Here is a 13,298-nt window from a genome sequence, read left to right on the forward strand (position 1 = left end):
GGCAAGATGTGTTTGCATGAGGGGAAAGCCAAGAATGGGTTTCCCAAGGAAGCAGTACTTCTTGGATTAATTTCTTACTTTTAGAAGGCTGAGCAAATACCTGAGTTAACGTGTTCTGTGCAACATTTTGGTAACCATGTTGGGTTCTTACTCATTATATGGTAAGAACCCAGCAAATCTTTTGGCAACCATGTTATATTATATTTGATTCTGTACCTCCAGTGAGTTGGCATCAACTACTCTTATTCCTTAAATAATTTTAATTTGTATAACTTTATTAAAGTATCCTTCAATACAAAGGATCACCATAGCAGTGACACAGACTCTAAAGAGAAAGAGGCAGCCTGGACAACATAGCCAGATTCTCGCCTCTACTAAAAAAATAAATTGGCTGGGCGCAGTGGCTCACGCCTGTAATCCCAGCACTTTGGGAGGGCGAGTTGGGCGAATCACAAGGTCAGGAGTTCAGGACCAGCCTGAACAACATGGTGAAACCCCGTCTCTACTAAAAATACAAAAATTAGCCAGGCACCTGTGATCCCAGCTAATCAGGAGGCTGAGGCAGGAGAATCACTTGAACCTTGGAGACGGAGGTTGCAGTGAGCCGAGATTGCACCATTGCACTCCAGCCTGGGTGACAGAGCGAGACTCTGTCATAAATAAATAAATAAATAAATAAATAAACAAACAAACTGCTGGTCATGATGGCACATGCCTGTCCCAGCTACTTCAGAGGCGGAGGCAGGAGAGTTGCTTGAGCCCAGGGACATGGAGGCTGTAGTGAGCTATGATTCTGCCACTGTACTCCAGCTTGGGTGACACGGAGTGAGACCTTGTCTCAAAAAAAAAAAAAAAAAGAGAGAGAGACAGAGAGAGGGAGAGAGAGAAGGAGGTTGAATAAATGTCATGATTCCTCGTTAGATGTCTTTGGAGGTTAAGTTTAAAAATTGATTCCAAATAGGTTGTTTCAGTTAGGATGAGAATAAAAGCAGATTGTCTCAATTACTCATACTGTTGTACCACAAGTAACTTAAAAATCTTATTTAATGAACTTTTAAGCAGTGTTACCTTACTAGCTATGTTTTGATTAAGCTAATATTGAGAAGTATTGAGTATTTTCGTTGTCTATAAAAGAGGCCTAGAACTGTCATCAGTAGCAGAAGGAAACCCATCTGGAATTAAAAATAGGTTTTGGAAAACCAAAACGTTGATTCACCCACCTCACCCCACCTTGCTATCTACTTCTATTCTGGTGTATGTCTGCATAATGAATACATAGGTAGTTTTTACTCAGAAAGTGCAACCAAACCAATTGCTGTTGTTGTTTTAGGGTGACACGGCCCCACTCCCTTGGCACATTCGAATCGGTATATTAATAGGAATATCCAAAGCCATTCACTACCTGCACAACGTTCAACCATGCTCGGTCATCTGTGGCAGTATATCAAGGTAAATTATTCCAGAGCTTTTGGTTATACCTGAAAGCTTCTTTTATCCTCACATGTGAGTCATACTTCACACTATTCTCTGCTGTAGTTCTCCTGGTATGTATGTGTGTGTGTTAAGAATTCTCATCTAGGTATTTAAAAATCCTATATTTTTATTAATGAAAATGTGTCTACCAAATTTAAAAAGCTATATGTATGTTGCCAAAAAGAGAGTTTACATTATCTTTGGTAATTATTAATGAACAATGTAGGATAGACAATTCTGTGTACAGATGGTCCCAATTTATGATGATTCAACAAAATGATTTTTTTTACTTTACAATGGCACAAAAGTGATATGTATTATGTAGAAATCATACTTTGAGTATCCCCATACAATCATTCTGTTTTTCACTTTCAGTACAGTATTCAATGAATTGCATGAGGTAGTCAACACTTTATTATAAAATAGCCTTAGCACTAGATGATTTTACCCAACTGTAGGCTAATATAATTGTCCTGAGCACATTTAACATAGGCTGGGCTAAGCTGGGATGTTCGGTAGGTTAGGTGTATTAAATGCATTTTCGACTTACCATGGGTTTGTCAGGATGTAACCTCATAAGTTGAGAAGCATCTGTATTTTAGTAATTATTAATGGCACTTTGTGAAATGAACCTGTATTTATGTACTTTTTTTAAAACTGAAGTTTAAAGAAAAATTAAGCAACTTAAATGGGGATTCCTAGCAAGCTGGCAGTAGTAAATAGCAATAAAAATTGTTTGTCCTTGAGTCTCCAGTGTCTTGCTCATCCTACTGAGCCTGCTGTCTCATAACTTTATATATTAACCTATGACAAGCTGAGCAGCAACCCCAATGTTCATTTTTGAGACATGAGAAAATTAGAAGCAACATCTCCCACATTTCTTCTTCTAGACATAAAGAATCATTCACCCAGAGTAAATACCCCCTGTCGGTGAATTTTTTTCTATTTGCCCTTTATCTTCAACCTGTCCAAAAGTACATGAATACACCTTTGCTGAATATCAAGGAAGACTGAATTTAAAAGGCTGCTGCTGCTTCTGAACCATTTCCCAGTATCTTGAAAAAAACTTGTAGTATGCTTTTGACTTGGGCAGAAAAGGAGCTGATTGCTTACTTGTTTTTCTGATGAAATGAACTCCATAGGAAAAGACTCTAGGTTTTACTTAGTTCTAGAGGGGCGGGGTGACCTACCCATAGACGTCTGTGCCTGTTGCAGTGTGGCAATCCAGCAACTGCTAATGGCTTTGTAGAATCAGCATAAAATTAATGCACACTCATGGGACCTGAATATAGAGGGACCATGAGGGTCTTCAGTCAGTGGAGTTATCCGTTGGAATTGCTTTCAAAGGGCTGAGGTGGCCACCCACAACCTAAAACAATCCCTCCTCCACTCAGCTTGCAACCAACACTGAGCACACTAAGTGCTCAAATATATGTTTTACTGAGTAAATAAATATCTGGAATGTTGCTAAACATATTTGTCCTTTGGTCTAAACTTAAAATAAGTATTAGCTTATTTTAAAGCCCCAAGCAGCAATAGATTAATTTTATTAAGTTTCCTTTTGTGTGACTGAGTTCATCAAATCCTTTCCTGAATGCAGAGTTTGAAGAAGAAAGAAAAGAGAAGGTGTTGGGGTTTTGGCTCTTGATGGGAGATGGGGACAGAGGGTCACTAACTGAAGCAAAGGGAGCATCAGGGCAGGGAGGGAGGCAGAGGCAAGCTCTGCCCATGTCCCGTTCTTTTTCACAGCTGAAACTGGGCAAGGTGATTTGGATGTGCCTAACAGTGTCTCTCTGCTGGTATTTGGTGAGAGCACAGGCTTTGGGCCCTCATTTCCACTTTCTCACTGTTGGTTCGTGTCTTCAGGTAGGTCCAGGAAGTGGGCTCAGAAGCACAGATTTACCTGCAGGAGGTTTTTAAGGGAGGGCTCTCAGGGACAGCAAATGAAGCGAGGAAAGGAAAAAGGCAGGATTGGGCAGCTGGAGAGGTTGAGTTGGGATATTATTGTCATAGAGGCCTCAGTCCATGCCATGGGGAAGCACTGAAGCTGGGGTGGCGCATCAAAGACATCCCAGAGGCAGGCAGGGCACTCTGAGCTTTGCACCCCTGCATCTGACCAGCCCTCTTGTGGAGCAGTAATGTGGCTGGGTGAGGCAGCTCCCTTCTACCAAGACAGTTCCCAGACTGTGGCTCAGCTGTGAGCCATCTTTAGCCAACTCTTACTGCTGGGGAACCAGAGCCTCCCTGGAACCCAAGGAGGGAGCCAAGTAGGGTGGGGAAGGACAGGGTGGGGAAGGAAGGGGTCGGGGGGCGGTGTGGAGTCATGGTGGGAGAGTGCACCATGGCAGCCACCACAGCTATGAAGGAAGATTTGACAGGACAGAGTTCTGAAAAATGTGACTCGAAGATTTTTCTTTTTCACATGTTTGCTCCCCACCCTCCTCCCATCCTTTTCTCTTAGCTCAGTGTCCCCTAATGTTTAAATCAGAGAGACCTTCCACTTAAAATGCGATTCTGAGCAAATTGCTTAATGTCTCTAAGCCTCAATCTTCCTCTCTGCAAAATGTTAGTAGTAGAATAATAGCTTCTATCTCCTAGGGTTAAATGGCATAAGGTCCTTGACAAAGAGCACACACATCTTCAGTGGTAATTCCTATCCTGACTGGTTGAGAAGTGGTGGGAGTGGCACAGTGACAGAGGCCAAGTAGTGTGGTGGCCAATCAGTCTTTTTACTTAACACTCTTACCTCTATCGTCAATTTATAGTGTTTGAAAAGTGGACCCACTGACTAAGCTCTAGTTTAAGAAAAATTACTTCTCTGTTAATATGTTTACTGGCCAGGTGTGGTGGCTCACATCCATAATCCCAGCACTTTGGGAGGCCAAAGTGGGCCAATTACGTGAAGCCAGGAGTTCAAGACCAGCTTGGCCAACATGGTGAAACCCCATTCTCTACTTTAAAAAAAAAAAGTGTTTATTAAATATCTTGACAATCCCATTCATCTTACTTCACAAATATTTATAGAACATCTGTTGTGTGCAGAGCATTGTGTTAGACCACAGGGGGAGAGACAGTGATGATAATAGTCTTGTCCTTGAAGGTTCAACCTGGTGATCAGAAAGATAACACAAACACAAAATGTGTAGTGCAATGGTAACTATGCCCACTGAGTGGTTGGTCTGAGAAGGCTTCCTCTCGTTAGAGAGTTCCAAGCCAAGTCTTGGAAAAAGTGGGTCATTGCAGTGGATTGGTTGAAAGAAGCGGAGAGAATATTCCTGGTGGAGGCAATAATTTGTTCAAAGGAACAGAGTAAAGAATTGCCACGTATATAGTAAAAGCAAGAGAAATCAGTTGGTTGGAAAAGAAAGGACAAGGTTGGAGAATAAGATAAGGTGAGACTACAGAAGAATGAGGACTGTGGTGAGCAGGGGATGGAATGCAGCTTTGGATTCTGACTAGGCTGAGGAACTAGGTTTGACAAGCTGGGCTCTAGTGAAAGTCTGCAGCTTGTCTAGGATATAGGTGGAAACTGAAAGGTTCTAGAGTCTCTTAGGTGGTCTCACAACTTAAGAGGAGGCCAGTTCTTCCAGGTCACTATCCCAGGAACTTGTCTGGATGTGCAGAACTATAAAAATCATTTAAGCAACACTGCTAGACAGAATGCCCAACAGGTAACAAAGATACAGAGTACCCAGAGAGATCTGATCAGAAACAAGAATATTATGGAAGAGACAAGGCTTGAAATGCATCTAGCAATGTATTTTATATTTTACTTGGTGGTGGGGCTGCTGACAATTGTTGCCTTTCTGAGTGTTCCAAAGAGTTCAAGGACTTCAATGTAACCCATCCATAGAATGTGCCCACCCAGGCATGTGTCAGGGTATGGAGATCCATGGCTGTGGGCATTTGTTTGAGAACTGTGGTTTCACAAGGGCTCATCAATGTGTCCCTGCCTGTTCCAAAGCAAATCAGTCCCTTCCACGGCCATTGAACTTTTGGCCTTTCTGCTGAGCCTGCCAGCAAAGATGTTAATTAGTGCCAACTATAACAGTAGATTTCCCCCTCGTGTTTGGTGATATGCACACCTGTTCTCTAGAAGCTGGAATGAAACTAACTCAGTTCATTTGGGCCACTGAACACCTGTCAGATGGTAATGACAGTCAGTCCCCAGCAGCCTCGGCCAGATGTGATTGGCTGACCTAGATTACCCTCCTGAATCTCTTTTAAATGAATCCTCCACTGTGCTCTAAACCTAGGCCTCCCTGAGTGTTGGTCCCTCTGTGTGTAGCTCAGTGCTTTTAGGACTGAGCTGTCCAAATCCCTGCCTGTTTTGCCTTTGTCATATTAATTTTCTAAATCTATGTAAGGGAAGATAGCTTCTAGGAGGGATGCAGTTTTATTGTACGGCTTTGATAATTGGCTGAGAAAAGGACATCTCAAAATCTGTGTTAAACAGTGGCCTTTTCCCAGAGTAATTCAGGGCTCTGTTTTTATTGGAGGAGTGAACAATGGAAGATGCTGTTACCTTTATTTTCTTTTCTGTATTTGGGCTTCAGAGTGATGAGTCACAAAAGACTTTATCCTAACCCTTTGATATTATTATTATTATTATTATTATTATTTTTAAAAAGCCAAAATTTCAGCAACTTTTATTGACTACCTTTTAAAAGCCCTATGCTGCTGTTTTACAAGGCATAATAGACCAGCTCATCTGGTCAAAGCATTCTACATCATTAGTTTGAACTAACTTTTACTGAAACAGCTACAGCATCAAAAGAGTTAAGGCAAATTGGAATTCATAGAAAAGGATAAGACACTTCACACTGCATTGAAAGAAAGACAGGCCGGGCGCGGTGGCTCACGCCTGTAATCCCAGCACTTTGGGAGGACGAGGCAGGCGGATCACGAGGTCAGCAGATCGAGACCATCCTGGCTAACACGGTGAAACCCCGTCTCTACTAAAAATACAAGAAATTAGCCGGGCATAGTGGCGGGCGCCTGTAGTCCCAGCTACTTGGGAGGCTGAGGCAGGAGAATGGCGTGAACCCGGGAGGCGGAGCTTGCAGTGAGCCGAGATCGCACCACTGCACTCCAGCCTGGGCGACAGAGCGAGACTCCGTCTCGGAAAAAAAAAAAGGCCGGAAAGCTAAGAAGAGAGACACTGACGGCAACACTGAATTACAGCAACACTCGCACTGCAAGCACAGAACACCATGGGTGAAGTCGGACTAGTTAAACTTCAGAAAGCCCATTTCATACAGCTGGAAAAAAAAAACACAGATTAAACACAAAATGAACAAAACCACAAAAATCCGGTCATGCACTTGGATAAGTCTTCACGGTCTTTGTGCATACCCAGAAAATTGAAGTTTTCTTTTCTTTTTTCTTTTTCTTTTTTTTTTTTGCATCATAACATTTGATAAAAATCTGTTTGTTTGTTTGTTTTACTAAAATAAACCTGTTCGGGGGAACAGCTACTAGATGAATTTAAGGTTTTTATGCACCTTATAGAACTTATAGCAAAAATAGTTTTAGTTGATTTCGTTATAAATAACGTTTTCAAGAACTTGTGCAAAATTGTCAATAATTTCCTAAAGCACAATTGATCAGAAAAATCCATGATTGTTCAGCCTTCACACCCTTCTTCATGTAAGAACACCTTTCTGTACATCTCACAGTTACTTATTAGGTTGAAAGGTATATGGAGAATGGTCATTAGACGTCTCGACAGCCACCTGCTGTTGACCACTTGCCTCCTCAACAGGAGCCGCTGTCGTCTGCATATGTTCATACTGTGGCAAGTAGGCTCCTTGCATAGCTGACGTTGCAGGCATGTATGTTCCGGTGCTGCCTAGTGACAGATGACTCATCTGCTGGGCCAGAGGGCTGATCATTGATGCGGGCTGTAGTGACATGGTGTGCTCCATTGAGGGAGTTAACACGGCACCGGGGTGCTGTAGAATATATGGTTGAGGTTGCGTCCAAGAAGGACTTTGCACCTGGTAGGCAGATACAGGAGATACAATATAGGGTGTAATAGAAGTTTGAGTGATCATTCGGTTTGTAGCAATACTGTATGGTGAAGGATAAAATCCGTTTTGTATAGCAGCTGTAGTTGGGTCGTAAGTAAGTGTCATTCCAGTAAGTCTCACCTCTCCTTCTCTATGCCATGGTCTTCCATTAGGGATGTATTTGTTTGGGTTCTGTCTCTTTTTCTGTCCTCCATCAGAAAACTTACACAATAAAGGTTCTGTGGGGGCAGAAACTCCTGGTGGTGTCTTAATAAATTTTCCATTAAAATGACCAGTAACAGCTTCACATTTTTCTGTTGATTCCGTCCTAGCAAAGCCAACACCACGACTTGTACCACTGGCATCACGTAGTATCCTTGTAGAAATAACTTGTCCAAATGGTTTGAGCATATTTTCTAGTTCTTGCTTATCCATGGAGAGTGGCAAATTAGAAATGTAGAGGTTGGTAGGATCTTGTTCCTGTTGCTTTGCCATTTGAGCTTGAACCCCACTGGCCTTCAGGGCAGACACAGCTTTTTGAGCTGCTGCAGGGCTGTCAAAGTCGACAAAACCATAACCTTTGCATTTGTTCGTTGTCTTATGCAAAATTGCGTTTGTGGAGACTATTTTCCCATATGGTTGACAGAGCTTCACCAGGTCCTGGTCGGTGGTGTGGGGAGGCAGTCCTCGGATATAGAGGTTCGTTTTGCTGAGCTGATCCCATCCTGAGTTGCTGCTGCTGCTACTGTTGTTATTACTGCTGGTGGTGCTGGGACTGGGAGGGGCCATGGGGTGGGCTGGGACCAGAGACTGCTGCTTGCGATAGGGCGTCCGGCAGTTGCTGCTGCCCCCGGGGTTGCCGCTGCTGCTGGGGAAGATCATCGCTGCGGGCCGCGGCGGCGGGCGCGGGCGCGGGGCAGCCTGGGCGCGGGGCAGCCTCGCCGCGAGGGGGAGGACGCAAGGAGGGGGCCGGCCGGGCCCCGGGCCGAGGCAGCTTTGGGAACTCCCTCTCGCCGCGCGGCGGCGGCCGGCGGGGGCTGCAGCTCCGCGCTGACTTCCCCTCCGCACTCGTCTAAAAGTGCGGCGCGGCGCGGGGCGAGACTCGAGCAGCTCGGGCAGCCGCCGCTCTGCGTGCCATGGACGGGAGTTCGCGCGCGGAGCTGGCGGCGTCGCCGACTCTCCCGGCGGCAGCGGAGGAGCAGCGCCGCCGCGTCCTCCGATATTATTAAGTTATGTTTTTAAATAGTATGAAATAGCATGGAACAATGTATATAAAGTGAGATTAAGTGGAAAAGACCAAATTAAAGTAGCGTATAGTATATAATTATAACTTTGTATAACTACAAATTCATGCATTAAAAAAATATTAAAAGTAAAATATACCGAAATATCAACAACGTTTTGTTTGGTTGGAGAACCTATAGCTTATTTTTCAATGGCTTATTTTTTTACTTCTTTATGTTCTTTAGATTGTATTTAAAGAAGTATGTTCTAGTCTAGCAATAACATAAAATTTATTAGACAAAAATAACTTGGCGTCAGACCTTACTGTCTCAAACCAATTAATTGGAAAAAGTTCCAAAAGACAGTCTCAAGTTACTAAATGAAATCCTTATCAGTTCAATCATTCTCTGTAATTAATTTTATCAGTAAAGAAGCTTGATAATCTGTCATTTTTATGGTTTTAAAATAGTTTTTAAAATGAAAGTTGGAAAATCATTATTCAGCAGCCTGGTGCCCAAAGTGTGAATAACATCTTTTGTCTAAAGCAAAGTGAAATGGTTCTCATGTCTTCAGCAGGGAGGAGGGAGGATGAGGATGAGGATGTGGATGTGGGAAGACCACCAGAAATCTGGGTTCAGGCCGGGTGAGGTGGCTCACACCTATAATCCTAGCACTTTGGGAGGCTGAGATAGGCAGATCACTTGAGGTCAGGAGTTTGAGACCAGCCTGGCCAACATGCTGAAACCCCATCTCCACTAAAAATACCAAAAAAAAAAAAAAAAAAAAAAATTAACCAGGCATAGTGGCTTGTGCTTGTAGTCCCAGCTAGTCTGGAGGCTGAGGCAGGAAAATTGCTTGAACCCAGGAGGTGGAGGTTGTAGTGAGCTGAAATTGCATCACTGCACTACAGTCTGGGCGATAGAACAAGACTCCGTCTAAAAAAAAAAAAGGAAAAGAAAAAGAAATCTGAGTTCAGACCCAGGTCTTTTTTCTCTTTCTGTGGCCAGAGAGTGGCCAAAAGTTTTCGCACTTGCACATTCGGAGCCAACCAAGACAGTCTTAAGGTGACCTCTTGTTGCTGTCAAATTCTTTGACATTACACCTGCCTATTTTTGTACTGGGCTCTGTACTCACGAGTCTAGGACTGTTACAGGAGAACGTGACCCTGTATTCTCTTAAATCCTGGTCAAGCTTTACCCTGATCAGCTTCCAAATCAGAATGAGGTCAGATATGTTTAGGGAGGCGCCTCCAGCCACCTGCCCACTCTGGAGCAGGTTTTAGTCAAAGTTCTGAAATGCCTGTTTTTCTGAAACACCCTCTCCCTAGTCTTTCATCTGTCCTTCCCCTTCTTTACCAGCCACCCTAGCGATCTCGTTGTTGTCCCTGTCTCTCATCACTGGTTAAGAGTGTGGCCTTTGGGGTCACATAGATCTCAGTACAAATCCCTACTCCTCTACTTTCTGGCACTGTGATCTTGGGCAAGTCACTTAATCCCCTGAGGCTCAGTCTCTTACCTCATCTGGAACTGGGGTGACAGTGCTCCACCTTCTCCCAGCATTGTGAGGAGGAAGTGAGGTGATAGACTGAAAGCACAACCCAGGCCTGGCAATGAGCTGTAATTATCCCCCCACAATGTGAGAAAAGTGCTTCATCCAACCTGTACTTGAACCCTTGCTGTATGGTGGGCCCAGCATGTTGTGGGGGTCCAGCTCCATTTGGGTGCAGCTCTCATTATTCAGACTTCTTTTCTGTGGAGCTAAAATCCTGTGACTTGCCCATTTGCCGCTGGAATTATCTATATACAGCTAAAGAAAAAGGAGATAAAAGCTCATTTCATTTCTCTTTGAAATCAATAGTCTCTTAGTCTTTCATGAGTAGCTGAGTAAAAAGATGTCTCAGTTAACTATAGTAAATCAAAAGAGCACCAAACAGAAAAATAGTGGGGCTAGGTGTTAGTTCTGGCCCTGCTATTAAGCGGTTTTGCATGGAACAAGTCATGTCAACCCTGTGGGCCTCATTCACCTCCTCTGCAGGATTCTATAGCAGTGATGACAAGTCAGTGTTGTCTCATGTTCCATGTCTGATTGATTGATAATGATTTCCCACATGCAGGGTTGAAAGAGAATCTATGGTGGGTGCTTTCTGAACTAAATTTTTGATGTTTGCCAAGAATATGGGAGGATGTTTTGGGAGGATAAATGTTATGGCAACATTTAAGCCACATATTCACCATTCCTATACTGAGTAGTCTAGGGCTACCCTCAGTTTCAAATCCTCTTTACATAATTGATTATATCAACAAATATTTACTTAGTATCTTCTATAGACTCAACATTATGCTTAAGTAAACAACATCAGGTGGGCTCCCTGTGGGTGTCAAACAATGTCGTTGGAGCTGTACAGCAGGAATTTTGGAGAAAGGAGGAGCACTGGAATTTGGAGCAGTCAAGTGAAAAGTTTATGGAGGAAGTGAATCTTATGGCTGCAGAGAGGACTCAGATAAAAATAAAGCAGGGGAGAGTATTTTCAAGATGAGGGGAACAGAATGGGGAGAGGCCAAGACAGCAGAAAGCATAGTTTGTCCTGACTGCATAGTAAGTACTAATACCTTAAGGGTAGCAGATAGACTGCAGTCAGATGAGAGAGCTCAATGAGAGCCAGAGACTTTTCACCTGGCATCAACGCCTGCTGAATAACTTGTTAGCAATCCTCCCAGCAAGCCTGAGTTCAGGTATTACAGTTATTATCTCCATTTGATAGAGGAGAAAGCTGAGGCTTACAGAGATTAGTGACTGGCCTCTGTCTCATGGCTGTAGAAGGGAAAAGGGAGGTTGCATTCCATGTTTGTGTGAGTCCAATCATCATGCACTTTTTAAGGAATTAAAGGTCTGGGATTAATGGAAGCATGTTGGCGTCATCAGCAGAGACAGGGAAATTGGGAAGGAGAGGAGAGCATAATTAGTGTGCAGAAACTTGGAAATGCTGACATTGGACTCCTGGCAGAAGCAAGAGGCATTGAAGAGGAGATCGGGCCTGGAAAGCGGTGAGAGTAGATAGCTTTCTAAGGAAGAAGCTGTCAAAGACACAGCTCAGAAACACCCACAGGAGAAGCAGTGCCCATGTTTCCAAGGTGTTTTCAACAAGTCTGGGGGTTTATTTAGCTAAAAAATGTCTTAGTAATTTGAACTCTTCAAAGAGAATGTTATAAAAACAAAACCTGCTTCCAGGTGGTGGAATTTGAGAAGGAAAGGACTTAAAGAAAAGAATCTTGAAAAGTTGCAGCCTATATTCTTGGCCAAAGACCCTCACATTTTTATTGGAGAAACGAAGATGTTTTTGACTTACAGGATCACTTAAAAGCATCTGAAGGCAGTAAACTTCCTTGTTATTTCCCTCCTAGCCCTTAGTGAGCTTAATTGTTTTCACATTTATGAACTATTTTAAATGGAAATGCATTTTATCCTTAGCATTTTCCATCCCAGACATTTCATTCCTGCTAATGTTTCCAAAGCAAAGAGATAATCTTGGTGAACATTTCTAATGTTTCCTATAAAATCATGTTCTTTAATCAGTATTGCCATTTGTCTCCTGCCAAGTGAAACAGTCTTTCATACAAGGGAAATGGTCTAGGAAAGAAACAAAGAAGAAGCCATTTGCTTCAAAATGGACTTTTTTTTTTTTTTAATGGAAATTGATCAGAGATGTAAGGTCAGAGTGAGTGAGTGCATGGGTAATTTCCTCTCCAAAAGACTAGAAAAACTGAGTGGTTGGGAAGAGGGCATAGGGGGCCACAGATTGGCCCCTCCCTGCCACCAGGACACCCTTGCCTGAAGACCCAGGCTCCTCCTGCCTTTATCCCCAGACGGGAAGGTTGGAGCCCAGCTCAGTGTTTAACAGGCATGTCAAAGCCTACAGGGAATGCAAAGTGTCTTTCTTTGTTTGACTGATAAGATTCTTTAATCAGTCTCCTCCCTTTCCCTCATAACCCCCTCAAAAAGCCTATTTTTATCTTTCAGAAAAATTTTAGATATATATAATTCTTTTTCCTCAGATTTTTCCTGTTTTCCCCCAGTGCCTCCCCTCTTCTAAAATATCCAAATATGATTTTTTCTAAGGGATGCCAAAACAATTAAATATGACATAAATTAAAATTTCCCCTATTAATTCTATTTGCCACCACTCTAATCCCCAACATTCATTTACTTATATACATAGATACATACACATATGCACGGTACATGCCAGTTTTTTTCTGTCTCTCCATTGTCTTAAAATGTCTGGAAAATACGTTTGCCCAGAACTTCCTGGAACTATTTGAAACTCAGCCAATTTGTTGGCATTAACTAACTGAAGGGTCCTCAGATTTCCAGGGACATCCTACAACCCCCTGTATTTTTGTTCCTTGAGTTGGTGTCTTTGGACTTCTAGAGACATGCAACCAAGCCTTTTGGGATTTTAAGGTAAGGTAATGGACATAGGATGGACAATGGCCAGCCTATATCCTTTAAAGCATACTTTGAGCCCTCTGTGAGTGTCACTCCTTACGTTTTCTCATTTAATACTGGTAAGAACCCCGTGAAGTAAGCAGT

General features: G+C 42.9%; 1 protein-coding gene and 1 pseudogene across 2 annotated transcripts in view, besides 2 other annotated features; one reads left to right on the plus strand and one right to left on the minus strand.

Moving 5' to 3' along the window:
* The window catches only part of IRAK3 (interleukin 1 receptor associated kinase 3), a 65,409-nt gene that overhangs the window by 37,708 nt on the left and 14,403 nt on the right, over positions 1–13,298 (plus strand). For both annotated transcript variants that reach the window (NM_007199.3, NM_001142523.2), the window contains one exon: positions 1,331–1,449. In NM_007199.3, the coding sequence (NP_009130.2) occupies positions 1,331–1,449 (119 nt within the window). The remainder of the gene's footprint in view (positions 1–1,330; positions 1,450–13,298) is intronic.
* Positions 6,095–8,305, minus strand: RBMS1P1 (RNA binding motif single stranded interacting protein 1 pseudogene 1; annotated as a pseudogene).
* Positions 8,151–8,230: an enhancer, noted in NCBI's record as "active region_6615". NCBI's record gives its function as "activates an Ori minimal core promoter by ATAC-STARR-seq in GM12878 lymphoblastoid cells {active_cell/tissue: GM12878}" and the evidence as "EXISTENCE:reporter gene assay evidence [ECO:0000049][PMID:35858748]".
* Positions 8,291–8,570: a silencer, noted in NCBI's record as "silent region_4637". NCBI's record gives its function as "represses an Ori minimal core promoter by ATAC-STARR-seq in GM12878 lymphoblastoid cells {active_cell/tissue: GM12878}" and the evidence as "EXISTENCE:reporter gene assay evidence [ECO:0000049][PMID:35858748]".

This window comes from Homo sapiens, chromosome 12 (assembly GCF_000001405.40).
Source record: "Homo sapiens chromosome 12, GRCh38.p14 Primary Assembly".
NCBI lineage: Eukaryota > Metazoa > Chordata > Mammalia > Primates > Hominidae > Homo > Homo sapiens.